At 47.6% G+C, this 27,516-nt stretch overlaps 1 protein-coding gene and 1 pseudogene across 2 annotated transcripts in view, besides 6 other annotated features; one reads left to right on the forward strand and one right to left on the reverse strand.

Annotated features, from left to right (window-relative positions):
• Positions 77 to 246: an enhancer, noted in NCBI's record as "experimental_62270 CRE fragment used in MPRA reporter constructs". NCBI's record gives its function as "activates a minimal promoter by MPRAs in K562 erythroleukemia cells, with activity observed for the introgressed 22:17557308 variant allele {active_cell/tissue: K562}" and the evidence as "EXISTENCE:reporter gene assay evidence [ECO:0000049][PMID:34662402]".
• Positions 7,804 to 7,973: an enhancer, noted in NCBI's record as "experimental_62296 CRE fragment used in MPRA reporter constructs". NCBI's record gives its function as "activates a minimal promoter by MPRAs in K562 erythroleukemia cells, with activity observed for both the introgressed and non-introgressed 22:17565035 variant alleles {active_cell/tissue: K562}" and the evidence as "EXISTENCE:reporter gene assay evidence [ECO:0000049][PMID:34662402]".
• Positions 8,527 to 8,746: a silencer, noted in NCBI's record as "silent region_13429". NCBI's record gives its function as "represses an Ori minimal core promoter by ATAC-STARR-seq in GM12878 lymphoblastoid cells {active_cell/tissue: GM12878}" and the evidence as "EXISTENCE:reporter gene assay evidence [ECO:0000049][PMID:35858748]".
• The window catches only part of IL17RA (interleukin 17 receptor A), a 30,694-nt gene continuing 11,921 nt past the window's right edge, over positions 8,744 to 27,516 (forward strand). For both annotated transcript variants that reach the window (NM_014339.7, NM_001289905.2), the window contains exons 1-8: positions 8,744 to 8,973; positions 20,806 to 20,830; positions 21,541 to 21,687; positions 22,519 to 22,631; positions 24,099 to 24,225; positions 25,740 to 25,787; positions 25,883 to 26,046; positions 27,238 to 27,321. In NM_014339.7, the coding sequence (NP_055154.3) occupies positions 8,836 to 8,973; positions 20,806 to 20,830; positions 21,541 to 21,687; positions 22,519 to 22,631; positions 24,099 to 24,225; positions 25,740 to 25,787; positions 25,883 to 26,046; positions 27,238 to 27,321 (846 nt within the window). In that variant the 5' untranslated portion in view covers positions 8,744 to 8,835. The remainder of the gene's footprint in view (positions 8,974 to 20,805; positions 20,831 to 21,540; positions 21,688 to 22,518; positions 22,632 to 24,098; positions 24,226 to 25,739; positions 25,788 to 25,882; positions 26,047 to 27,237; positions 27,322 to 27,516) is intronic.
• Positions 8,767 to 8,886: a silencer, noted in NCBI's record as "silent region_13430". NCBI's record gives its function as "represses an Ori minimal core promoter by ATAC-STARR-seq in GM12878 lymphoblastoid cells {active_cell/tissue: GM12878}" and the evidence as "EXISTENCE:reporter gene assay evidence [ECO:0000049][PMID:35858748]".
• Positions 9,137 to 9,236: a silencer, noted in NCBI's record as "silent region_13431". NCBI's record gives its function as "represses an Ori minimal core promoter by ATAC-STARR-seq in GM12878 lymphoblastoid cells {active_cell/tissue: GM12878}" and the evidence as "EXISTENCE:reporter gene assay evidence [ECO:0000049][PMID:35858748]".
• Positions 9,277 to 9,526: a silencer, noted in NCBI's record as "silent region_13432". NCBI's record gives its function as "represses an Ori minimal core promoter by ATAC-STARR-seq in GM12878 lymphoblastoid cells {active_cell/tissue: GM12878}" and the evidence as "EXISTENCE:reporter gene assay evidence [ECO:0000049][PMID:35858748]".
• On the reverse strand, positions 17,359 to 17,681 carry RPL31P62 (ribosomal protein L31 pseudogene 62; annotated as a pseudogene).

Below are 27,516 nucleotides of genomic sequence, written 5' to 3' on the forward strand. Positions count from 1 at the left end.
TCTCAAAGTTTTTTTCATATGTGGCCCCAGGAACTCTCATCTTCATATTTGAGTTCTGGAACATTGCTGGTGATGATCTTGGTGCTATGTGTTTCTTTTCAGTTTTCTGTTGGGGAAGTAAAGCCAGCTTGCTTCCGCAGCACCATTTTAGAACCCCTAGTAAAATTTTCGATTGAGAAATATTCTGCAAATGTTTTTATATTTTACCTCCTTTTCAGTGATCACCATTCTCTAGCCATGTGATTGACAAGGACTTTCTCATAGTTCTATACCCTTCACCACATCATTCACTCTTCCTCCCGTAACATTATTTCTAGTCAGTCACCTACAACCCTCTCCTCTGTTTCTTCAAATCTCAATGTACCTTTTCTTTTCTTTTCTTTTCTTTTTTCTGAGACGGAATCTCACTCTGTTACCCAGGCTGGAGTGCAGTGGTGTGATCTTGGCTCACTGAAACCTATGCCTCCTGGGTTCAAATGATTCTCCCGCTTCAGCCTCCCGAGTAACTAGGATTACAGGCACCCGCCACCACGCCCGGCTAATTTTTTTGAGATGAAGTCTTGCTGGGTCACCCAGGCTGGAGTGCAGTGGCGCGTTCTCAGCTCACTGCAACTTCTGCATCCCAGGTTCAAGCAATTTTCCTGCCTCAGCCTCCCGACTAGCTGGGATTGCAAGCGCCCGCCACCATGCCACGCGCTCAGCTAATTTTTGTATTTTTAGTAGAGACGGAATTTCATCATGTTGGCCAGGCTGGTCTCAAACTCCTGACTTCCTGATCCGCCCACTTTGGCCTCCCAAAATGCTGGGATTACAGGCGTGAGCCACCATGCCTGGCCAATTTTTACATTTTTAGTAGAGACAGAGTTTCACCATGTTGGCCAGGCTGGTCTCGAACTCCTGACCTCAAGTGATCTGCCCACCTCAGCCTCCCAAAGTGCTGGGATTGCAGGTGTGAGTCACCACACCCCACCAATGTACCTTTTCTTTAAAATATAAATTTAATTGCTATTCCTGCATGTAATTATTCTCAGTCTGGCTTCATGCAACAGGAAGACCCCCTAGCCTGAGAGCTAAAAACTTCTAACTTCTTTACCAAGCACACCATCTGGCTCTCTTTATCCTGGGCTCTGCCACTGACTACCTGTGTGGCATGAGTCACAAAATTTCTCTATCAGAGCCTCAGTGTTGTAGTTTGGTTGTGTAGTGGTGGTGGTTTGGTTTAGTTTTGTTAATGCCAAAACTATTTCAAAAATCTGATGAGACTTATGAACTCTCTTTCCAGAGAAAAGCACACTCACACAAACATTTTTCAAATTATTTCCAAGTGTTTACAAACTTCCTAGAGCCTATCTATGGACTTCAGTTTAACAATCCTTGGACTGGCCTCCCATCCTTTTAATTAAATAGCTCTCTCTGGCTCTAACTCTAATTCCTCTTAGAAATAAAAATAGAAAAGAAACAATTTCTATCTCTGCTAAGAGCTCACCTCTCAGAAAAATGGCGCTGACATCTCTCAGCCACATTCTGAAAATCAGGATTCTGGAAAGTCCTGTGTTCTAAGATAAGTGGTCTAGGCAGGCCGGGCGCGGTGGCTCACGCCTGTAATCCCAGCACTGTGGGAGGCCGAGGCGGGTGGATCAGGAGGTCAGGAGATCGAGACCATCTTGGCTAACACTGTGAAACCCCATCTCTACTAAAAATACAAAAATTAGCCAGGCATGATGGCGTGCGCCTGTAGTCCCAGCTACTCAGGAGGCTGAGGCAGGAGAATTGGTGTGAACAAACTGAGGGCCATTACTTTAATAACTTATTACAACTTGTTAACAGTTTGATTTATTAGCTTTTTCAGGTGTTGTATAGATGCTTAGAAATATTTTTGTATTAAATTTGTAAGTCTAGCAGTCAGCATTTGAAACTTTTAAGAGAAACATGCACATAAAATTTGCGATGTGGTTTGAAATGTCTTAGGAAATGTAATGAATCAAGTTTGAAGTAGTGTTAAGTGTTTAAGGAAGATTTAGTCTCTTACATTTATGAGTTAATAGCACATGAATTAAAGAACAAGTAAAAGTGATTGTTCTTATTTTATACCAATATTACCAGATTAATAAATGGACTGGAGCTGGGCATGGTGGCTCATGCCTGTAATCCCAGTACTTTGGGAAGCTGAGGTGGGAGGATCACTTGAGCCCAGGAGTTTGAGGTCAGCCTGGGCAACATAGTGAGACCCTGTCTCTACAAAAAAAATATAAAATTAGCCAGGCATGGTGGTGCACACCTGGAGTTCCAGCTACTGTGGAGGCTGAGGCTAGAGGATCACTTGAGCCCAGGAGGTTGAGGCTGCAGTGAGTCGTGATTGTGCCACTACACTCCAGCCTGCATAACAGAGCTAGAACCTGTTTCAAATAAATAAGTAAGCAACTAAATAAATAAATAAACTAGCAAGCTTTGTAAGTTGAATTTAAAAGCTTGAAGACTGGATATGGTGGCTAGTGCCTGTAATCCCAGGTATCCAGGAGGCTGAGGCAAGAGGGTAACTTGAGGTCATAGTTTGAGATCAGCTGACCGGCCTGGGCAACATAGTGAGACACTGTCTCTAAAAAAAAAAAAAAAAAAAACAAAGGCCGGGTGCGGTGGCTCACGCCTGTAATCCCAGCACTTTGGGAGGCCGAGGTGGGTGAATCATGAGATAAGGAGTTCAAGACCAGCCTGGCCAACATGGTGAAGCCCCCTCTCTACTAAAAATACAAAAAATTAGCCAGGCGTGGTGGGGGGCACCTGAATCCCAGCTACTCGGGAGACTGAGGCAGGAGAATCGCTTGAACCTGGGAGGTGGAGGTTGCAGTGAGCCAAGATCACGCCAGTGCACTCCAGCCTGGGCGACAGAGTGAAACTCCATCTCAAAAAAATAATAATAATAAATAATGCTTGAGAAGAACTACAATTTAAGTGTTGTAACTCAATGTAAGAATAAAAATAAAAGTTGTCATAAAAAAAATTTCTGAGGCCAGGCGTGAGAGGATCTCTTGACCCCAGGGGTTTGAGGCCAGCCTGGGAAACACAGATATTACATATTACAAGTAATAAAAAAAAAATTAGGCATAGTGGCGCATACCTGTGGTCCCACATACTTGGGAGACTGAGGCAGAAGGATCACCTGAGCCCAGGAGGTTAAGACTGCAGTGAGCTGTGATGGAGCCACCGTACTCCAGCCTGGGTGACAGAGTGAGACTCTGTCTGGGGAAAAAAAAAAAAAAAGGAAAAAAATTCCGCCCACAAAAACCCCTCTTGAACTTAGTAAATCTCAGTTGACACGTTTATTCAACAGTTTATTCAAAACACGTTTATTGATCATCTCCTGTGAGACAGAGGCTGTTCTAAGCACTGGGAATATGGTTGTCTTAGTCTGTTTTCTGTTGCTATAAGAGAATACCATAGATTGCGTAATTTATAAAGAAAAAAAATGTTATTTAGCTCACAATTCTAGAGGCCAGGAAGTCTAAGAGCATGGCACCAGCATTTGGTGAGGGCCTCTTTGCTGTGTCAAAACACGGCAGAGGCGATCATAGGGAGAGAGGGTAAGAGTGTGCAGGTCAGCTCAGGTCTGTTACTCTTTTTTTTTTGAGACAGGATTTCACTCCCATCTCCCAGGCTGGAGTGCAGTGGCACAATGTCAGCAAACCACAACCTCTGCCTCCCTCCCAGGCTCAAGCCTCAGCCTCTCGAGCAGCTAGGACTACAGGCACGTCTGGCTAATTTTTGTATTTTGGGTAGAGACAGGTTTTCACCATGTTGCCCAGGCTGGTCTATGAACTCCTGAGCTCGAGTGATCTGCCTGCCTCGGCCTCCCAAAGTGCTGGGATTACAGGCATGAGCTACCGTGCCCTGCCTATCTTCCTCTTCATATAAAGACACCAGTCCCATTATGGAGGCCCCCACCTTGATGATCTCATTCAAATTACTTCCCAAAGGCCTCACCTCCAATCAACATATGAATTTGGGGATTAAGTTTGTAACATGTGAAATTTGGGGGATACATTCAAAGAATAGCAATGGTGAAAAATGATTTGCAGTCTCTTCTTTCACTGAGATTATATACTAGCAGAGGACACAGAGGAAAAGTCAAATAAACAACATCATTTCAGAGAATGGACACAGAAAGCTCAGTCAATCAGAGACTAGCTCCTAACCCCATCTTTCTCATGGCAAAGGATATTCTGTCCCCTCTCTCACTGTCCTGGAATGAAATCCGTGGCCATTTCCCTTTTCTCATAGCCAAAGACACCACCAAGTTCTCCAATCCCTGACTCTGATTCCTGACATCAATCTATTGCTCCTTGTATAATCAGTCAATGAATCAAAAAAAATTTTTTTGGATATCTACTATCTCCTCAGGATGAGGCTCTGTCAGGGGAAAAGTAAGAACCCAGAGAACAAGCAATAAGCAAAGCAGCCTAATGTTGACATGCGCTTGGCAAGTATTCACAGACCACCTCACACCCAGCCAAGCACTGCAGGTGAGAGCAACACAGGAGTGAGGAAGCCGGGGTACTTACCATCAGTGAGGACCAATCTTACAGATAGGGAAAAACTATATTTCATCCAGTTGAAGACACCCATTTTCTACATTTTAAAATTCCTAAATTAGGCTTTATCTTTCAATGATTTTGGATCATTGGATGAAATACAGTAACAACAGCACAAAGCAGCATTGTGCCCTGAGAGGTGTGCAGAGCCTATAGCAATTAGAACAGTGGTCCAAGGTCAGGCTACACATTAGATGTATCTGGGAAACTCAAAAATACTTATGCCCAGACCCCATCGCAGACCAACAGAATCAGTGTGGAAGGGTGTGGCTGTACACTGGTATTTCAAAAAGCACCTCATGGGATTCTAATACGTAGGCAGAGTTGAGAACCAGGATAGCAATTTCAAATGAGAGTACACATTACCCTGAGGTTACATGAAGACTTTCCAAGGGGCACGCCTTGGAAAGTTTAGGGCACACATCAGTAAACTAGGGCCTATGGCCCAAATCTGTTCTACTGCCTGTTTTTGTACCCTCCGGGGAGCTAAGTTGGTTTTTACAGTTTCAAATGGTCAGGGGAAAAAATCAAAAGGGAAATAATATGTTTGGACAAATGAAAATTATATGAAATTTAAATGTAAGTGTCCATAAATAAAGTTTTATTAGAACACAGACACACTCCTTTGTTTACATATTGTCAATGGCTTCTACAAGGGCAGAGTTGAATAGTTGGGACAGAACTATATGGCTGGCAAAGCCTGAAGTATTTACTATCTGATACTTTCCAGAAAAAAAAAACTTGCTGGCCCTGGCTTGAAGGGAATAGATTTGAAGGGAATGGACCTCCAGAATCTCAACATCCCCATGTCCTCTTCCAGACACTTGCCTGCCAGGAAAGGTACCAGCTGTGAAGATGTCAGGTGTGGGTGGAGGCTCCCTTCCTTCCCCACACTTTTGTTTCCTACTTGTCCTTCTCCCACTTTCAAAAGAAAGGTAGGCCTCTCATCAGTCCTGGGTATTAAGTTTCTAACATGTGAAATTTGGGGGACACATTTTAGAATGTGTAAAAAAGCCCCTGGGGGCCCAGAGCAGTGGCTCACCCCTGTAATCCCAGCACTTTAGGAGGTTGAGGAGGGCAGATCACAAGGTCAGGAGTTCGAGACCAGCCTGGCCAACATGGTGAAACCCCATCTCTACTAAACATACAAAAATTAGCTGGGCGTGGTGGCATGTGCCTGTAATCCCAGCTATTCAGGAGGCTGAGGCAGGAGAATTGCTTGAACCTGGGAGGCGGAGGTTGCCACTACACTCCAGCCTGGGCGACAGAGCAAGACTCCATCTCAGAAAAAAAATAAATAAAATAAAATAAAATTTAAAAAGCCCCTGGGCACTAGACATAGCAACAGTACCAGATACCATTGTGTAATAGGACTCTGATCACAGGATAGGTATATACACATATCGATATACAGAGATAGATAGATAGATAGATAGATAGACATCTATTTTTTTGCAAGTGAGGTAGGTTCCAAATATTGCCTTACTAAAATTGAAGGAGGACCCAATCAAGTTGTCAGTTGCCAAATCAAAAATATTTGACTGGGCACAGTGGTGCAAACCTGTAATCCCAGCTACTTGGGAGGCTGAGATGAGAGGACCTCTTGAGCCCTGGAGTTTGAGTCTAGCCTGGGCCGTTTAGTGAGACCCTATTTAAAAAAAAAAAAAGGTGACAAGATGGCTATGTGATCTTTGCATATGACTGAAAACGGGTTCAAAGAATTGATGAGACAAATATAATTATTTATGTAAGCAATTTTTTAAGGCTTACATCTAAAATATTTTTAGCCTGGGGTGGTAGCTCGTGCCTGTAATCCTAGTACTTTGGGAAGCTGAGGCAGGAGGATGACTTGAGCCCAGGAATTCAAGACCAGCCTGGGTAACATAGTGAGACCCTGTCTCAATGTTTTAAAAAGAAGAAAAATGGTGGCTCACGCCTGTAATCCTAGCACTTTGGGAGGCCGAGGCGGGCGGATCATGAGGTCAGGAGATCAAGACCATCCTGGCTAACACGGTGAAACCCCGTCTCTACTAAAAATACAAAAAATTAGCCGGGCGTGGTGGCAGGTGCCTGTAGTCCCAGCTACTCGGGAGGCTGAGGCAGGAGAATGGACTGAACCCGGGAGGCGGAGCTTGCAGTGAGCCGAGATCACGCCACTGCACTCCGGCCTGGATGACAGAGCAAGACTCCATCTCAAAAAGAAAAAAAAAAAAAGAAGAAAAATAAAATATTTCTTAAATGCTGAATGTTGCTTTGTTCTATGAATAAGCAATATTTGTTCACAGATACATCAACTAATTAGGAATAAAATGAATTTCAAGTAATTCATGTTTAATTACTTATTAACATGTATTATATTTACATTATTTTTTATCAATTATGTACTAATAATGGCAATGATGAAATGAAGATCTCAGTGTCTTGCACTGGGCAGAGGCCTTTCTCATTCTCTGCCACTTGGGCCCCAGCATGGCTTCCCTAAGAGCTAGGAGCTCAGAGGGAGGGGCTGGGCAAGACAGAAGTCAGGATCTTTTTGTAACTTAATCTTGTAAGTGACATCCCATCATTTTTGTCTTCTTCTATTCATATTCTATTGTTAGAACCAAGCCTCTGGGTCCATCCCACACTCCGCGAGGAGGATTCAGAAGGTCGTGACTCCCAGGGGGTGGGATCCTAGAACACATCTTAGAAGCTGCCTACGACAACCGCTGATTTTTAAGTAACAGTTACATCCTCTACATCTATTTAGACTTAGGATGGAGAATTTTAGATGTCATCTTTAAAATGCATGAGAGGATGCAGTTTTCCAAAATTCTTTTAGAAACAGACAATTTGAAGGCCACTGAGCTTCAGGCTTCATTCAGCTGGGTCGTGTCTGCGGGCGGGGCTCATAGAGATGTCGCTGGGGGTCAGCGGGTGCTTCGGGCAGCGAAAAAACCCACCTCTCGAGGGCAGTGGAAAATACAGGGAAAAGCCACTTGAGTGTAGACTCCGTGCGTGTCAAGGCCAGGCAGAGGCGCACTTGATAGGCAAGGAAAAGCGGACGGTGGTGGTCTTGGGAGGAAGAGAGGAGAGGCGAATGGGCAGGAGCGTGTGGATGCACTAGGGCAGGACGGGCTCGAAGCAGGAACCTAGGATAGAGGCAGCGCGGGCCGGCTTGGGAGGGTCCTCCAGGGTCCGGAGAGGAGAGGACGCAGGCTGCACGCGTGCTAAGAAGGAGACTCATGAAATGTGTAATTCGCTGGCGACAGCTTCCGCGGCCGTGGAGTGAGCCTCTGGGAAGTAACGACTCTCTTAGGTGCGGCTGGGACACAGTCTCACAGACCAGGTAAGTTGCCTGCCCTCCAGGAACTCAAGTGTCCCCGAGTCCGAGCCAGGAGGCTGGAAGTGACTGCTGTCCCATCCTCCCTGGAGCCCGGAGCTGTCCTTGTCTTGAGAAAGAGAAAGCAAAGCCAAGGAAAGCAGAGCGAGCAGAACCAGGCAAAGGGGTGGGGACAATAAAATGGGATATGGCCCGCGCTTCCATCTACTCAGGAGGCAGAGGCAGGAGGATCGCTTGAGCCCGGGAGGCCGAAGCTGCAGTGAGCTGCGGTTGCACCACTGCACTCCAGCCTGGGAGACAGAGGGAGACCCTGTCTAAAAATAAAGTAAAATAAAAAACAAAAATAAAAGGGACAGAGACTAAGAAAACGGACTTCCTGAAATCCCAAGTTGGGATTTCACGTCCAGTGACCCACAAGAGAAGCAAGAAGTCTGAACAGGGCCAAGAATCAAGTGAGTGGGGGCGGAGGATTAAAATCGACAGTTGCTGCGGCACGGCCAGGGTGGAGGGTGCATGTGGGGCAGGCGAGGCTCCAGCTGGAGTTGACGCTAGCCCGACGCGGGTGCAACTGGAGGCGCGACGGGCCAGGCCCAGGAGCAGCGGGAGGAGCGCACCTGGGGCGCGCGGGCGGAGGAGGGCCGGGGAGGGACGCCGGAAGGACTGGGTAGGGACGCCCGGAGGACTGAGCGTAGGGCCGAGAGGAGGGGCGCAAGGAGGAACGGGGGGAGGGCCCTGTCTCACCCTAAACCCCTCCCCGTCCCAGACTAAACTCCTCCCCTCGGCCCGGCCCGCCCCTGGGCCCGGGCTGGAAGCCGGAAGCGAGCAAAGTGGAGCCGACTCGAACTCCACCGCGGAAAAGAAAGCCTCAGAACGTTCGTTCGCTGCGTCCCCAGCCGGGGCCGAGCCCTCCGCGACGCCAGCCGGGCCATGGGGGCCGCACGCAGCCCGCCGTCCGCTGTCCCGGGGCCCCTGCTGGGGCTGCTCCTGCTGCTCCTGGGCGTGCTGGCCCCGGGTGGCGCCTCCCTGCGACTCCTGGACCACCGGGCGCTGGTCTGCTCCCAGCCGGTGAGACTCGACGTGGGGAGCGGTAGCCGCCAGGATGCTGCGGACGCGGGGCAAGGTCGCGGAGGGCCGGACGGTCGGGACTACGCGCCCGGGCTGGGGAGGCAGGAAGTCCGCGCCGCGGGCTTAGAGGGGCTCAGAGCCTTGGGCACAGATATCGCGGCGCCTGGGGAGGACCCTCGGAGCGGTGGGAGTTGCGGTGTGGAATACGGGGGGGGTGGGTGGCACATCGCGCGGCGCGTGTTGCACAACCTGGCCCGCCGTCGTGACTGGAGGCGGGAGTGACACCTCCGCCCGGGCCGCGGAGTTCGGGGAAGGAGGGCGCGGCGCTGGGCCAGGCCGGAGGGGCGGCCAGGGCTGATAGAAAGGGGCTGTGGAGAAGGGGCCCGGGGAGGAGCCAGGACGGGTCTGGACCCAGCTCCACGCCTTGCGCCCCTCACGTACCCCGGCGGGGCACGGTCGGCCCTCGGGAGGCCCATCGCGCCCTCGGGAGCTTCCCTCAAGCCGTGCCCTTCATGCCGCCGACGGAGCCGGGCGAGCCCACGTCGTCCGTGCGGAAGGTGGAGTCCCTCACCCGCGGCCCCCAGAGGGACCCCGCTGTCGTAGAGCCACGCGGGGGCCGGAGCGCTGAGACGCGGCACCATGTTTCGGGGAGAGCTCTGCCGAGGGCGGCTGAGGGCCACCTCCCCAGAGGCGCGAAGCCCTGAGGATGGGCAGATGGTTCTTAAGACGGCGCCCTTCCCGCCACTCCCACCCCCGACTACCACCACCTGGGTCTGGGAACCCGGTGAGAGCGCAGTCGGAGGGTCGAACGTTTGTAGCTGTCAAGTCGTAGCCCCGCTGCGCCCACAGGAAGTGACCCACCCGCCTGCCGGGTAGTGGCCTTTCTGTGAGCCAGGACCATCTTAAGGAAAAAAACAAAAAAAGAGCAAAACGCCGTGCCCCTCCACAATATACTCTCCTCTTCCCCGCATCCCCGAGGGGATCTTTCCTCCCCTCCACCTCCACCTCCACCTCCACCGCTGACCCCAAGGAATAATGCTCAGTATCTGAGTCAGAGGATGTAAAACAAAGGGATATTTCTCCTTATGTAGTTTTATGGAGGATTTACCGAAAGAAGGTGGAGGGTGAGTGACTATGTCGCAGAAAAAAAAAAAAAGATGTTTTTATCGTGAATGATGTTGAGAAATGTCCTGTGACTTCCACTATTGGGCAAAGCAGGTCCCTCTGCCCTGCTAGTCCCTCCTGCAGGCTGTGTATGAAGCGTTCTGATATGGAGGGTTGGTGCGCCTGGGTTGACAGCCATTGGTCAGGTGCCTGCAGAGTACAGGGCGCCATACTGGGAACTGGAACTATAAATAAATACTCTGGGGACCCTAATATCCAGAGACCTAACCCATCTACGGGAGGAACAAGGCTTGAAGTTAGGGAACTGTCTAGCAAAGCTGCTTGCACAACTGCTAAGTGTACGGAATTCCAGGAAAAAGAAAAATTGCTTCCAGTTGGGGTGTCCTTCATGGAAAAGGCATTTGGGCAGCCCTGTGGGGGTAGCAGGAGCATTCCAGGTGGTGGAAAGGGCCTGAGCCAAGGTCCTTAAGTGGGACAGGGTACGGTGTGTGGCCGGAATGGAGGGTCTGTGTAATAGGACAGTGAGAAAAGATGCCAGAAGCGGGGATGGGACTCTGCTGTGCGTGGCGTGGGAGCCAAGCTCTGACTTTCACTGCACAGTGAAGCAACTGTAAGTCAGGAGCAGAAGCACGGCCTGGCTCCAGGGAGGGCTGAAGAGAGACACTTGCTGTTCATATTTGTCTGCAGTCTCTCGTTCTCTTCCTTCCTCTCTCTCTCTTCTGTATACACCTGCCTCACAGACAGCTCTTCTCCAGAGATAGACAGCTCTGGGCTCCATTGACTAGTTCTTTTAAAAAGAAAGAAAACACATCCTTCAAATTTCTGTCCCTCACTGGTGTTTTAGTGGATGCAATGTGGTATAGTGAGGGGAGGGAAGGCCACAGAGGTGGCCAGAGGACCTGGATTTGCAGGCAGCATCGCACTTACTGTCTCTGCAGTCGGGCTTTGAGGCTGCCTGGGCCTGGGTTCCCTCATTTCCACAAAGGCAGGACTGGGTGAGCCTTCTCAAAGTAAGTCCATGCCACCTTCCAGAATGTAAGTGTCTGTCCAAAGCCCAGTTCGATTTAGCCTTCCATAACTATCCTCAGACAGGGAGGAGGCTTCTGCACACCTGGCCTGTTCCTAGCTCAGTGCTGGAGCACAGGATGCGGGGGCTATTTGATACATATGTGTTGACTGAACAAAAGAATGCATGAATGAAGGAAAGAACGGTCAGCTCTGCTTGGAAGGTAGTGGCAAGCTGAGACCAACCATAGCAATGGTTCCAGATGCTTGGGGTTAGCACCTCAAAACCCAGATGACTGATTTCCCCACAGAAATCATTACACGAGAAACCATCAATAATTGCATTTCCCTGGGAGTTTCCTTTTGGTTAGCCGTTCTCGCTGCCTAGGCTTCATGCAGGTTTCCCATGACCGCCAGCCTGGAGGAATGCCCATAGGAAAGACAGCAGCAACTTAAGAGTTGGTCAGGGTAAATGTTAACACGTAATTTCATAGACAGGATGTGTATTTCATTACAGAGTCTTTTTTCCTGAGCGTTTGCGGTTTTGACTTGTGGTTGTAGAACAGCTGCTCAGTTTAACCCCTTTATCTTTTGCTTGCCAGAAGCCACTTTCATCATGCCACTCTTCCAGAGGCTACAAAGTTGTGTTCTTTGTGCCAGGCACTGTGCCGGTGGCTCACAAGTATTCCTTCATCCCATACTCAACGACAGCTTACAAGGTTGGCAGGATGAACCTGCTTTTGAGAGGCTGGGTTATTGGCCCAAGGTCGCACAGCTAATGAGTGCTAAGGTGAGATTGAAAGCAGGCTGTGCTTGTAAGTTCAAAGCCCACTTTCTCTGTCAGGCACTCAGTAGTGTTCACTGAGGCACAGAATTGAATACAATCTTCCATTTCTTCCTCTTAACCTTCACCTTGTGGGTAGAGAATAGTGGCCTATTGGAGGTATCCCTTATTTATTTATTTATTTATTTATATTTTGAGAGAGTTTTGCTCTGTCGCCCAGGCTGGAGTGCAGTGGTGCGATCTCAGCTCACTGCAACCTCCGCCTCCCGAGTTCAAGCAATTCTTGTGCCTCAGCCTCCCGAGTCATTGGGATTACAGGCGCCCACCACTACACCCAGCCGATTTTTGTTTTTTGTTTTTTTGACACAGAAAGACACTGTCGCCCAGGCTACAGTGCAGTGGCATGATCTCGGCTCACTGCAACATCCACCTCCCAGGTTTGAGCGATTCTTCTGCCTCAGCCTCCCAAGTAGCTGGGACTAGCAGGCATGCACCATGATGCCCAGCTAATTTTTGTTATTTTTAGTAGAGATGGGGTTTCACCATATTGGCCAGGCTGATCTGGAACTCCTGACCTCAAGTGTTCTGCCCACCTCGGCCTCCCAAAGTGCTGGGATTACAGGTGTGAGCCACCGCACCTGGCCAATTTTTTTATTTTTATTTTTATTTTGAGACAAGGTCTCACTCTGTCATCCAGATTGGAGTGCAGTGGTGCGATCTCAGCTCACTGCAACCTCCACTTCCCAGGCTCAAGCGATTCTCCTGCCTCAACCTCCCAAGTAGCTGGGATTACAGGTGCGCACCACCACTCCCAGCTAATTTTTGTATTTTTAGTAGAGTCGGGGTTTCACCATGTTGGCCAGGCTGGTCTCGAATTCCTGACTTCAAATGATCTACCTGCCTCGGCCTCCCAAAATGCTGGGATTACAAGCGTGAGCCAATGCGCCTGGCCAATTTTTTAATTTTTTTAGTAGAGACAGGGTTTCACCAGGTTGGCCAGACTGGTCTCGAACTCTTTATCTGCCCACCTCGGCCTCCAAAAATGTTGGGATTACAGGTGTGAGCAACCACACCTGGCCCCTTTTGTTATTTAGAGAGACAAGGCAGCAGAGATTAAGATCATGTATTCTGGAGCAAAACTTCGTCATGCAAATGCCAGCTCTGTGGGACCTTGAGCCACTTACCCAACCTCCCTGGGTCTTAGTTTTTTCATCAGTACAATTGGGATAAGGGTGCTTAGCTCATAGGATTGTTGTCAAGATCAAATGAGATATATGTACAAAGTGCTTAGCATGATGCCAGACACAAAAGAGGAGCTCAATAAACATCAGCTGCCATCACCTTCATTGTCATGACAATCCCCCCTCTGATTTCTGCAAGATGCCTCACGTAATGCCATTCACAAGCAGGTAGCTCATAGATAATATTCTGATTCTGCTAGTTTTAAAGAATGGGCAGTGGCCCCACGCCTGTAATCCTAGCATTTTGGGAGGCTGAGGCAAGGGAATCACTTAAGCCCAGGAGTTCAAGACCAGTCTGGGCAACATGGCAAAACCCTGTCTCTACAAAAAATACAAAAATTAGCCAGGTGTGGTGGCGCATGTCTCTAGTCTGAGCTACTGAGGAGGCCGAAGTGGGAGGATCTCTTGCGCCCAAGAGGTCAACACTGCACTGAGCCCTGAGCATGCTGCTGCATGACAGAGTGAGACCCTGTCTCAAAAAACAAACAAACAAAAAAAAAAACGAATGAGAGGTTTGAAATTAGGGATGACTATTGGAGAGGAATTTGTTGGACAAGACAAGATATGTCTTAGTAATATCCTAAGAAGATCCCGAACACTTTTTTTTTTTGCTTTATTTAAAATGTTATGTAATTCTATAAATTTTTTTTTTCTTAGAGACGGAGTCTCGCTCTGTCACCCAGGCTGGAGTGCAGGGGCGCAATCTCTGCTCACTGCAGCTTCTGCCTCCTGGGTTCTAGCAGCTCTCCTGTCTCAGCCTCCCGAGTAGCTGGGACTACAGGCGCACGCCTCCATGCCTGGCTAATTTTTTGTATTTTAGTAGAGATGGGGTTTCACCGTTGTTGGCCAGGCCAGTCTCGAACTCCTGAGCTCAGGCAATCCACCTGCCTCGGCCTCCCAAAGTGCTAGGATTACAGGCGTGAGCCATGAAATTAAATTATAAGGAAAAAAATGTCTACTCTTTCTTCCACTAAACAAATTAATGTTTTCATTCATTTATCTTACTTTTCAGTCCTTTCATTTGTTTGGCATTACATCATAGATAAACTTCTATCTTTTAATTAATTTTTGTCAAGTTACGTATGGTGATCCTCCTTTAAAAATGGTACTAAGATGTTTAAAACAAAAAACAGTAGATCCCTGCGCCACCCCTAAACCTGCTCCCCAAATATGATTCCTTTAGTTAATTCTTCTGAGATATACCTCCATATTTCTAAACATGCTTATAGTGTTAATTCATGATTTGTTAATTTTAGATATTATCTATTGACTTCTAATAGATGAAAATTACATTATCTTTCTGCCACCACTTCTCCCTGTTTTTTATTACAGTTAAATCATGATTTTAGTTAAATTAATAGTCAGCATTTATATAACAATTAAGTAATCTTCACTGCTGAGGCAAGTAAGTGTACTTTGATTATATATTTTTTCTGGTACAATTCCCCTCCCCTCCTGCCCCAGAGATAATAATTGCTTTAATTCTTCACTTGCATAATGTTTCATGTAACTAGTCTTAGTTTTGTTCTATCAGACTTGTCATATCATTTCCCTCCAAATCATCAGATATTCCATCAATTCCATCCCCCGCTTTCCCCAGAGAACTTCCTCCTAGAGCACACTGTTCTCCAGCCCCAGCAAGGTCTGTGCTCTCTAGACCTGTGGCACAACAGGTCTAGACCAGAACAGACATCCTGTCATGGTCTAATCTCCCATGTCCTGGATCCTGTGTCTTCTTCCTCAGGGGTTACTCCCTCATTTTGCTGGAGAATATCATCCTGTAATTTCCTAAGCATATGTATGAGGGATGGATATAGACATATATATCAGGAACATATATGTTAAGTCTTTTCATGTCAACATATCTTTATTCTACCCTCATACCTTTTTCTGATAATTTGGCTGGGTGTGAAAATTATGTGTTAAAGATAATTTTCCCTCAGAATTGTGAAAGCATTGCTTTATTGCCTTCTAGCAAACAGTACAGATGCTAAGAAAGTCAATGTTATTGGCCGGGCGCCGTAGCTTACGCCTATAATCCCAGCACTTTGGGAGGCCGAGGCGGGCGGATCACGAGGTCAGGAGATTGAGACCATCCTGTCTAACGCAGTGAAACCCCGTCTCTACTAAAAATACAAAAAAAAATTAGCCAGGCGTGGTGGTGGCGCCTGTAGTCCCAGCTACTTGGGAGGCTGAGGCAGAAGAATGGGGGGAACCTGGGAGGCGGGGCTTGCAGTGAGCTGAGATCGCACCACTGCACTCCAGCCTGGGTGACAGAGCGAGACTCTGTCTCAAAAAAAAAAAAGTCAATGTTATTATGTGTCTTATTGGTTTATATGACACTTATTTTTTTCTCTCTGGAAACTTTTAGGATCTTCTTTTTATTCCTGATATTACAACAGTTTCAAGATTTGGGGCCTTGGTCTGGGTCTTCGTTGTTGTTTTTGTGCAGGCCATTTAGTAACCTTTTTAATTTGGCAACGTGATACTGTGAAATATGTATTTAGTCTTCAACCCCTTTTTCTGGCATAGAACTCCTAAAATCCTTAGAATCTCCAAAATTGTATCTTTTATATACTAATGATTCATTGGTGGCTGGCAGCCTCTAGGCAGCTTCAGGATGGGGGCTGGTCCCGGGAAGCAAGTTAGGATTAGAGGGCTGGGACGTTTAGCCCCACCCCTTTACCCATCACATCTGGGAAGGGGAGAGGGAACTGAAGGCCCCCTGAAGTTGCAATGGCCAGTGGTTTAATCAGTCATGCTCACATGAAGCCTCCATAAAAACGGGGTTCAGAGAGCTTCCAGGTAGTGGAACATGTGGAGGTTCCTGGAGGGTGGCACACCTGAGGAGGGCATGGAAGCTTTGTACTCCTTCTCCTATACCTCACCTTTTCTTCTGTATTATTTGTGATATCCTTAAAATAAACTGGGAAATGTGTTTCCCTGAGTTCTCTGAGCAGCTTTAGCAAATTAATTGAACTGAAAGAGAGGAGCATGAGAATCTCACGTTGAACCCGGTTGGTCTTAGAAGTTCTGGAGGCCCAGACTTACCACTGGTGTCTAGGGGGTGGGCGGTCTTGGGGACTGAGCACTCAACCTGTGGGATCTGATGCTATCTCCAAATAGTGTCAGAATTAAATTGGAGGATACCCAGCTGGTGTCTGCTGCCGAATTGATTGCTTGCTTGGTGGTGGGAAGAAACCACCCCCCGCCAATATGTAGTCACAGAAGTCTTCTGTGACTTCTGTTGATTGTTGTGGTGATGTGAGGGCAGAGGAAAAATACAGCTTGAGTTTTTCCACACTCTCGGGGAATATGTGTCCTTCTCTTCCAGAATATTTTCTTTCTTTCCTTTTTTAAAAAATAACTTCTTCCTTCTGTTTTTTTGTTAATCTCCTTCTAGAAATCTAGTCAATCATATTTTGTTTCCTAAATTGAATCTCTAATGATCATATATTTTTTCCTATTCTATTTGTGCTTTCAGAGAAATGTCCTCAATTTCATAGACTAACCCTTCTATTGAATTTTTATTTAGTAGAACTTCTATTGAGTTTCAAGGTTCAGTTTTCATTCTCTGCCTGCTCATTTGTCCATGGTGTCCTGCCCCTGTCTTACAGATGCAGTGTTGTATCTCTTCGGGGCTATAATAATTTTACTTGTTTGGTTTAATTGTGTTAACAGCATTGTTTTTTTTTTCCTTCCAGGAGCATTTTTTAATTGTTTTGATCTATTTTTCATACAGAAAACCTATCTCAAATATCTGGTACTCCTTGGCTGTCTGAGAATATTTTAAGAATGAAGTCCTAAAAGCTGATTAAATGCTCTGTGTAGTTAAGGTTTATTGAACATTGGACTTCACTGTATAGGAGGTCAAGCTAATCGTGAACCTGGCCTATTGGGTGACCTCCAAATGCTGAAATCTGGAGGTGTTTTTTTTGGGCCTGGCTGCCAGCATTCTGAGATCAGAGCACGGAAAGAGAGGATAAGGTTCCCAACACTCCATATGTAGACCTTCACTTAATTCTCCCTGCCCCTAAGCCCTGAACGTTATAAGGTTCTGAGGGGCCCCTGGCCTCCTTATCAATAACTCCCTTTTGTAGCATTCAGACAGAAGTTCCTCCACTCAGCACAAGCCAGCTGCCTACTCTGCTGCCACTTGGACAGTTATTTATTTATTCATTCATTTGTTCATTTTTGAGGTTTTATAATTTTATTTGACATCAACAGTTTGTTCTCATCCACAATGTCTGACTGTCAGTTTCTGAAAGTGGTAATGGGTACACAGGTAACCAAAGTATAGAGCTTGCTTGGTGAATCTTCATCCTCATGCTTTCTGGACAGCTGCACATGGACACAGTATGGAACGTTCCTTATTCCTTTGGTCCAGACAGCTTTGTTGAGCCTGGTGTTAGCATATCTGGAGTCCCCATCTCCTTCATGGCAAAGTTCTGGGACTTTTTGAGTGACCAAGGGGCACACTGCTTGACGTCCCCTCCATGGGTGTGCTTGTGGATGCTGATGGCATATTCTGGTGTCACCACCTCATTGGTGGCAGGTGACAGAATAGCCCTTTTATTTTATTTTATCTTACTTTATTTTATTTTATTTTATTTTATTTAGACAGAGTCTCGCTCTGTCGCCCAGGATAGAGTACAGTGGCACAGTCTTGGCTCACTGAAGCCTCTGCCTCCCAGGTTCAAGCAATTCTCCCACCTCAGCCTCTCAAATAGCTGGGACTACAGGCACATGCCACCACACCCAGCTAATTTTTGTATTTTTAGTAGAGACAGGGTTTCACCATCTCTTGGCCAGGCTGGTCTTAAACTCCTGACTTCAGGTGATCCACCTACCTCAGCCTCCCAAAAGTGCTGGGATTACACGCATGAGCCACTGCGCCCAGCCAACACTCTTCTTTACAGGAGCTATGCTGCTGGGGCCAAGTTGGAAAGGACTTTTAAAATTTTGTTCACATCTTTTGTCCACTGAGTTTGGCTCTTTGAGTTTGAGAATTTACAAAAAAAAATGTTCTTTCCTATAATTGTTATATTGTTTGGAGAGAGGGAGAAAATATGTGTATATGGTCAATGCGCTATTACCTCTAATAGAATTGTTATTCTATATTTCACCTATATGTATATTTTTCAGTTTTGATTAAATCTTTTTTCCCCTTATCTTCCCTCATGCCATCTCCTCTGCTTGTGTGCCCTTTGCCCCCAGCAAACTGTGTTAACACCTGTTAACATGTTTCTATTCTCATTTAGTCATACACACACTCTCTCTCTCTCTCTCTCTCTCTCTCTCTCTCTCTATATATATATATATATATATATATATTCAGGGAGATCTTTTTCATGACTTATTTCCATAGAAATTGGGATCATACTATAAAAAGTTATTTGAAACTTATTTTCCTCTCTCATCAACACATTCCAGCCATCTGCAGGTCAACAGATGTCTATGCAACTAATTCTCATTCTCTTTAATATTTGCATAATATTCCATAGTAGATAGCAATCTATTCAACCATTTCTAGTTTGATGGACATTTAGATTTAAACTAGATCTCACCTTAATTCAGCCATTCTCTATTGATGACCATTCAGTACCACAGAAAAAGAGGGAAAGCTGTCCATTTTTTTTAAAGCTAGTATAAGCTTAATTCTAAAACTTGACAAATCTTATACAAAAAGAAAAACTATGGACCAATCTCATTTATGAACATAAATCCATGCAATTCTAAATAAAATATTAGCAAATGTAATCTAGCAGAATATCAAAAGAACAATGCACCATAATCTAGTGGTGCATTAACAAACTTTGTTTGTTAATCAGTGCTGGAGAGGTATATGATGAGGTTCAGAGCTGTTTTGAATGAAAACTATAAACCTAATAGTAACTGAAGGAAAAGACTTATATGCAACCACAACTATCAGAAACCAAGACCAAAAACAGTATTCCATAGGGCATACCAAACTATTTCCCTCCATCTCGGGAATGAGAGGACACCTGCCTGCACCACTGGGAATCAACCAAGTGTGTTGTCAGACCCTTCCACTTTCCTTGTGGTCTTCATGAAGACAAGAGCTTTTCATCATGGGCATCATCCTGCAGTGTTATTGAGTAGCTCCCAGTGGCTAGTAGGAAGTTACTCCAAATGATGTATCTGTTTGCCTTCTCTAGAAGAGTTCCCCATCTCAAGGTGAAATAACCGCTTTTTTTTTATCCTCCACATCCTAGGAATTTTAAGGGAGAGGAAAAATGAGAGGACTCAGGGGAGTTAATCTTCTCGCCATTTAGGAAAGAGTGACATTTATTAGTGTGAGCCTAGGCAGCCAGATGGATTTTGTTGGGAACATGTGCGGAGCCCCCTAGTGGGGTGGTGATGCTAGCCCGGGACCTGTAGGGGAGAATTCAGGAGCTGAACAGGGCGAGAAGCACTTATGAACTGGGGTCCCAGAGAAGGAGGGTCCAGGTGAAATAGCTTGCTAGAGTCAATCCTAGGTGCGTGCAGATGTCATCCTGTGTGTGACCACTCTGTAAATGAACCCTGGTGGCACGGGGTCTTCTCCTGTGCTTAGCCCTACCTCTCTGTTCCCTCTCAAGAGAGAGGAGGGTGTCAGCCCTGGCACCCTACTCACACCAGTCACTTTGTTGGCCTTGAGATTGTGTTTCTGGTCTGCCTCAGCATCTGACTTTCCACCCCGGGATGCGTTTGGTCTGTTTTGCCAGTTAGAGAACTGGAGACACCTGAGCCTGAGCTCCTTCCTAATGGTTACATTTCCCTGGTAGCATTTGTCACTAGGGCTTCTAAATTTGGCCATCAGGATTTCCTCAGGCTTGGAAGGTTAACACATACTGCCCAAGAGGGAGGCAATATAATGTAACATGGGTGCCTCAGCTTCCTCATCTGCAGAATGGGCTGAGGATAATACCTCGTCACGATCACCCGGAACAGGGCCTGGCATACTTTACCTAGCGACTTTGTAGGGACTTAGTGAATGTTCCCCAACAGATCTGTCACAGAAACTGTAAATATTGCCCTTCACCCCTTCCGCACCTCTTGCAGCAGTGTTATCCAGGAAGGTTGGAAACCTTAGGAGATGAAGGGGCCCTTTTCTCAGGGCACTCCAAGAGAACCCTCTCAGTGTCTTTTAAAATTGTCAAGGTCCCAGCTCATAGCAGTTCCTCATAAAATACCATTCCTGTGCCGGGCGCGGTGGCTCACGCTTGTAATCCCAGCACTTTGGGAGGCCGAGGCAGGCGGATCACGAGGTCAGGAGATCGAGATCATCCTGGCTAACACAGTGAAATCCCGTCTCTACTAAAAACACAAAAAAGTAGCCGGGCGTGGTGGCGGGCGCCTGTAGTCCCAGCTACCTGGGAGGCCGAGGCAGGAGAATGGCGTGAACCCGGGAGGCGGAGCTTGCAGTGAGCTGAGATCGCGCCACTGCACTCCAGCCTGGGCGACAGAGCAAGACTCCATCTCAAAAAAAAAAAAAAAAAAGCACCATTCCCTTTGCCATCCCCTGGACTCACTCCTCATCCTATTCCCCAAAAAGTGAGAAGGGCAGGCTGTGTAGATGGCATTCCTGAGAATGAGCCAGTGGAGAGCATCTGGCCCTGGCATGTGAATTCAAGCCTTTTCCCAGCTGTAATAACCACCCTCTTTTTTCCACAGGGGCTAAACTGCACGGTCAAGAATAGTAAGTCATCTTTTTCTGTTCTTCTTCTTGTTGCCTTCTTAATCAAGTGAGAGCCTGCTGCCAACTTCTGACAGAAGTCTTGCCATGCCACTCCAGGTTCAGGCTGTGAGCTACAGCCATCCGCAGGAGGGTTCCCGGAGAATTGTGGATGCGTGCACCTGCGCTTCCTGTCGAGAACATTCATTATGCAAAAGTCAGGAAAGGAGAAACAGAACTGTCATTTGGATTGTGAAAGTATTCTCTGGGGAGCTGCCCTACTGTATCTATAATATAATTTGATTTGCCACAGCTTGTCACTGTAAAGTGAGAGACATCTGTGCTGTTGATTTTGTTTTGTTTTAATTCAAAGAGGCACATATTCAAGTGTCTGAGCCAATTAGAGACCCCTGACATATAACAATAAAGCAGCTCTTACTACAACTGCATCCCTCCTGTGCCCTTATTCCCAATCACAACTTCTTCTCAAAATCAACTTGTGTACTTTGTCTTCTCTCCTAAAATTCCCTTTAGACTTGAGAGGTTTGCAGTGACCCCAGTAAACATTAGAGAAGAGGGAGCAGGGCAGTAAAGCTGAGGACGCGGCCAAGGGCCACAGGCTGGAAGGCCGCGGGCCCCTGAGCTGTTTGCTGTCTAGCTGTCTGTACCTGCTGCTGGGGCATCTCAGGGTCTCGGCTATAAGTCTCTGAATGTTGCTTTTCCCTGGCTGCCAGGTACCTGCCTGGATGACAGCTGGATTCACCCTCGAAACCTGACCCCCTCCTCCCCAAAGGACCTGCAGATCCAGCTGCACTTTGCCCACACCCAACAAGGAGACCTGTTCCCCGTGGCTCACATCGAATGGACACTGCAGACAGACGGTGAGTGGGCATGCCAGCAGGGCCCTGGGGGATTCTCCCTGCCTCCAAGTGGCTCTCCCAGTCAGGCTCAGGATTGGGCTCCCAGTCCTGTGCTCAGACATGGGGGTTCAAATTTAGTGCTATAAGGATCCGTCATTTCATGCAGTCAAATACTTGTTCAGCATTTTAGATATTAACCCACAGTGATACCTTCTCATCACACCATTCTTCATGAAAGGACTTCCTTCAACCTAATATTTTTAGCACCCTGAGGGGAAAAAAAAGCAAGCAGTTAATTTTGTGACTACAGTACCAAAAATGAAGTGGAAAATGGTAACACATTTGTCAACCTGTTCCCTGAATTTAGGGGCCAGCACTTTTAAAACGTCCCCCAAGCCTATTCAGGAATGGAGAGTTTATGTTACAGAATTGGGACGATTGGGGCTTATGAGCACTAGCCCCAGATTTGTGAACGGGGCATGGGGGAAGTTCTTTTTGGAAGTCCCCGCCCTCAGTGCTCCTGCTGACAGCCACAACCTCGTGAGGATGGTGGGGATGGCTGTGTTTGACACCCATGCCAGATTGTCAAAGCCCTCACCACAAGTTTGCAAAGCCTTTACTTCTAGCCCAGTGTAAAGTGTCATTTTTCCTTGCCCAGCTGGGAAATAACTGTCTGCAAGGCGGTAGGCTGAGGCCAGAGAGTGAACTGAAAGGAACAGGATGTGGAGAGTTGGGTAAGACGGCAGATTTTCTTTTAGGAGTGAACAACCGCAACAGATAGGGAAGTGACACACCCAGCACTTGTCTTGGCTGATCTGCATCTGTTTGTCTTCTCTTCTCCCTCTCCTGCAGCCAGCATCCTGTACCTCGAGGGTGCAGAGTTATCTGTCCTGCAGCTGAACACCAATGAACGTTTGTGCGTCAGGTTTGAGTTTCTGTCCAAACTGAGGCATCACCACAGGCGGGTAAGAACACAGCTCCTGAGTGGATTATGTTCCACTGATGACACCAGTACAGACTTCTTGTCCCCAAATTCAGACCCTGATTTAGAGTGGGGGAGACCCAGAGGTGCTGAGGGAGTCTGTGGAATTCAGAATGGCAGCCTGAGATGGGCAGAAGTCAAAAGAGAAGTGGTGTGGCCGCCGTGAGCAATAGTGAGGGACAGAGCGTATTTTTGAAAGCGTCCCTCACCTGCTCACCCCTGGTTTTTCTTCCCACTTTACCTAGCTATTCGTTCGGAAAGGAAGTTGAATTGGAAGGCAGCTTCCACAGCCCTACCTCCTGCCATCTTTGTGTAACTTTGTGTAACATCTTTTATGTGTAACTTGGATTCAGCTGGGGCCTACCTTCAGGAAGAAAAAACCGCCCAGACCAAAGAACTGCTGTAGGTGGGCAAATGAGCACTACAACAGCTTAGTCTCATTTTGCTGCTCACAGCTAAATGGTGAAATGTTGATTCTTGTTTAAGTTTGTTTAAAGCAGTGGGTCTCAAAGTGTGGTCCGTAGACCAGCAGCCTCAGCCTCACCTGGGAACGTGGTAGAGATGTTTGGCCCCACCCCAGACTTCCCAGGCCAGAAACTCTTAGGGTGGGGTCCAGCAACTGGTGCTTAACCCTTAAGTCATCACGATGCGAGCCTTAGTTTGAAGACTACTGGTTTAAATCTGCAAATGGTCACTTGAAAACAAGTTAGATCTCCCACAAACTCAAGCAGCAAAGGCAGAACCCCTCTCCGATGTTAAATTAGGACCCCCAAACTTGACTGCTATGCGAATGGTGAGAACCAGGTTCCTCCGTCCACTTAGAAGCAAAGGACCCCGGCCCCTCCACCAGGGTAACTAGAATGGGGGTTGGAGTCGATGTCTGTAATCTCTAACACCCAGAAAATAACTTAGCACAAATTCAAATATCATTGCAACTGAGGTGCCTGCTGGCCCAGGGTGAGTGGGGGTCTCTAGCTTGTCCTTTGCACCTTTTTACTCCATAATGGTCTCAAGAGGTTCCTGGCTTTTCCGTTTGAGGAGGAAGAATCATTTGACAAATAGTTTTTACCTGCCTGGCGTGTGCCAGATCTCCATAGCCCCAAGTCCCCTGGCTCCGCCCTCTCATACCCATTGTCCTAGAATTTGAGAGGGCAGGTGGGAGGGGTGGGACTACTTCCACTTTCCCCAAATTCTTTTGCCTTATTCACTGTCTACTGATGAGGCCAGATCCAGGTTTAAAAAAAAAAAAAAAAAAAACAGGCAGAAAGGACCAGAGGAAACAAAAAACAAAGATACTGATTTCCCTGACCTTGGATTTTGCTGTGGTTGTTGCTTTGTTCTTATTTTTGGCTGAATATTCGGGAGTGGGTGGGAACGGGGGTCTTTGGGCATAGATGGGTGACAGAGGTGTGTGTAATCCATCCACCTTCCCTTCCTCCCTTCTCTTCAGTGGCGTTTTACCTTCAGCCACTTTGTGGTTGACCCTGACCAGGAATATGAGGTGACCGTTCACCACCTGCCCAAGCCCATCCCTGATGGGGACCCAAACCACCAGTCCAAGAATTTCCTTGTGCCTGGTAAGAGCATCCTCCCAAGACATTCCCTCCCCAATGGCCTCTGTGAGAAGGAAGCACCAGGTGGCACAGATGCCAGCCCCCCTGCTCAGCAAGACATTGGCTGGCATTGCCAGCACCTGGGACCCACAGAACAAACAGAGGCCAAGACTGGGAGTGCTTTGGTGTGTGCTGCAACCTCCATTCCCTGAGGCAGAGGCCATTCTCTGTTGGCACAACAGTGGACGGTGGCCCAAGATCCCAGGAGTTTTATGGGAACCAGAGCACCTCCCTCTATCTAGAGAAGCACCCAGCCTGCCCAGAAAATAGCATAAAGGCAAGCCACAAGCCACTCGTGGGGAAGTTGCAGCCTCTGCCCCCAGCCTGGTCCCAGCCTCCGTGGCTTGCTCTTCTCCTTCCACCTTACATTCTGCCTGCATCATCCAACGTTCATCCCATGCATGGCGCTCTACTCCCCATGCCTATCCACACTGCCTGTGATTACCGCCAGGCTTTTCTTCTCAGGCATCCTTTGATGTACATGTACCTTCTACTTCTCTGTCCTCCCCAGAAGCTCAGCTATTACCTACATTTCTCTCTTTTTGTTTTTAATAGAGATAGGGTCTTGCTTTGTCACCCAGGCTATAGTGCAATTTTGCTATCCTAGCTCAATGCAGCCTCGAACTCCTGGGCTCATGCGATTCTCCTGCCTCAGTCTCTCTACAATTCTCTGTCCATAGCCAGCTATGTCAGGAAGCCCACTTGAAAACAAAGCCTGGGTCTTCTGCCCATTTTTATAATCTCCAGAACCTCACGAATTGCCTTGCATATAGTAGGTTGGTCAAGAAATGCTTGTTAAGGATGGTGTTGACCTTCTTCATCCTGGGACCACCCTGCACACACGCGTGCACACACACTCTGTGCTTACCCTGCTTTATGTCACCGCGTGTGGCTCATCACTCCCTGACTGGTACTGCATGCTGTGTGTTTGCTTTTATTGGTCTCTTCTACTGGGTTGCAATCTCCAGGGGGCAGGGCTTTGTCTTGTTTACCACTGTACCTCCAGTGCCAAGAACAGGGCCTGGTGCATAGTTGGTGCTCAATATGTATTTGTTGAAGGAGTGAATCTCCTCAGTTCTCGCTTCTGTTCCTAAAGTTGACTGACTCAGTCCCTGTCCCTCCATGGTGATTCACACCTGTCACATGTCTTCTCAGCCTGTGCAAAGACAGGGGCAGCCGGGGACAAGAAGCTGTGGGTGGGCAGAGAAGGAACTGGAGGGGACCAAGATTGCTTGGTCACCCACAGCAAGCTCAGGAGGAATGCACTTGCATCAGGAGGGTTCCCCGAGAGATGAGGATCAGACAGGCAGGCTGGCACCCATGCCAAGGTGGGTCCAGCCCTGGAGCTCACTCTGAAGGGGCCACCTGCGGACAGGCTCCCAGTGGGGAAAAGATTGTTGTTCTTGGTGTCAGGAGTCTGGAAGAACAGATTTCTGAAGGCAGAGGCTTAATGAGTTTCCTTTTTTCTGGGTCGACAGACTGTGAGCACGCCAGGATGAAGGTAACCACGCCATGCATGAGCTCAGGTAACAGCTGGCCCGGGAGAGCTTTATTTGGATGCATACACATGCACATGTGCGTGCCCCTCCTCACTCCCAGCCTGCGTGTGTGACCTTGGCAGGCAGCCTGTGGGACCCCAACATCACCGTGGAGACCCTGGAGGCCCACCAGCTGCGTGTGAGCTTCACCCTGTGGAACGAATCTACCCATTACCAGATCCTGCTGACCAGTTTTCCGCACATGGAGAACCACAGTTGCTTTGAGCACATGCACCACATACCTGCGGTAACTCTGCTCTTTTTGACCCCTCTAGCATAGCTCAGGACCACCCCTCCAAGCCCTGAGTCTCTTCTCTGCTGGTCTGACAGAACCGCGTTGCTAGAAGCTCGCGACTCAGGGCTGTGCTTAGTCCATAGTGATCATGGCGCCTTGCCCTTTTTCTTCCCCAGTGATCTTATGCTTGATAGAAAGGCAGTTGACTGTGTCCTGCCCATGACTCAGTCCTTTTTGTTCTTTCCTCCCCCACACGCCCCCTTGTTCTCTTTTTGTTTTGCTTTGTTTATTACAAAAAGGATTTGAGGATTTAAAAAAAAGAAGAAATGTGAAAATAGAGACAAAGGGGAACTAAAGATAAGGAAATAAGGCCAGGTGCAGTGGCTCCCACCTGTAATCCCAATACTTTGGGAGGCCAAGGCAGGAGAATGGCTTGAAGTTGGAGTTCGAGACTACAGTAAGCCATGATGGCACCACTGCACCCACTCTGGGGGACAGAGCGAGACCCTGTCTCTAAAAAAGAAAATAAAAATTGAAAAATAAATAAAGTACATTAATGACATAAAATATGCCAGGCACAGTGGTTCACGCCTATAATCCCAGCAGTTTGGGAGGCCAAGGCAGGTGGATCACTTGAGGTCAGGAGTTCGAGACCAGCCTGACCAACATGATGAAACCCCATCTCTACTAAAAGTACAAAAATTAGCCAGGTGTGCTGGCACACGCCTGTAATCCCAGCAATTTGGGAAACTGAGGCAGAAGAATCACTTGAACCTGGGAGGCAGAGGTTGTAGTGAGCTGAGATTGTGCCACTGCACTCCAGCCTGGGTGACAAGAGTGATACTCCATCTCTAAAAAAAAAGAAATAAAGGTAATACGATGAAGCCAGCTCAGTGCAGGAAACGTGTGCTGTGTGGTTCTGTACAACTGGTGTCCATGAACACAGATTTGTTGCCCCAATTCCCAGCAGCCAAAGCAAAGAGAGACTTACCAGTTACTACACGTACTTAAGGATTTACAATAAACCAGCTTCCATGCAGAAACGGAGTTTTTTTCTGGAATAGAAACCTGAAAAGCATTTCTCCCCTGGCCTTCCTAAGGGGTGCTCTGGACAGCCTCTCCATGGCAGTGCCACAGCGTGTTCTTACCCAACTAGCCTTACCCATCCCAACTAGCCTTACCCATCCTCGCCTCTCTCCTCAGCCCAGACCAGAAGAGTTCCACCAGCGATCCAACGTCACACTCACTCTACGCAACCTTAAAGGGTGCTGTCGCCACCAAGTGCAGGTGGGTGAGTGTGGTGTGGACAGGTGCAGGGAGCAAAACAGGTGGCAATTATAGAGTGGACAGGAGTGAGGAGTGTGCACAGGTGAAGAGTGGTGTGGACGGGAGTGGGGAGTGTGCACAGGTGGAGAGAGTGGTGTGGACGGGAGTGGGGAGCGTGCACAGGTGGAGAGTGTGGTGTGTCTGGGAGTGGGGAGT

Source organism: Homo sapiens, chromosome 22 (assembly GCF_000001405.40).
Source record: "Homo sapiens chromosome 22, GRCh38.p14 Primary Assembly".
NCBI lineage: Eukaryota > Metazoa > Chordata > Mammalia > Primates > Hominidae > Homo > Homo sapiens.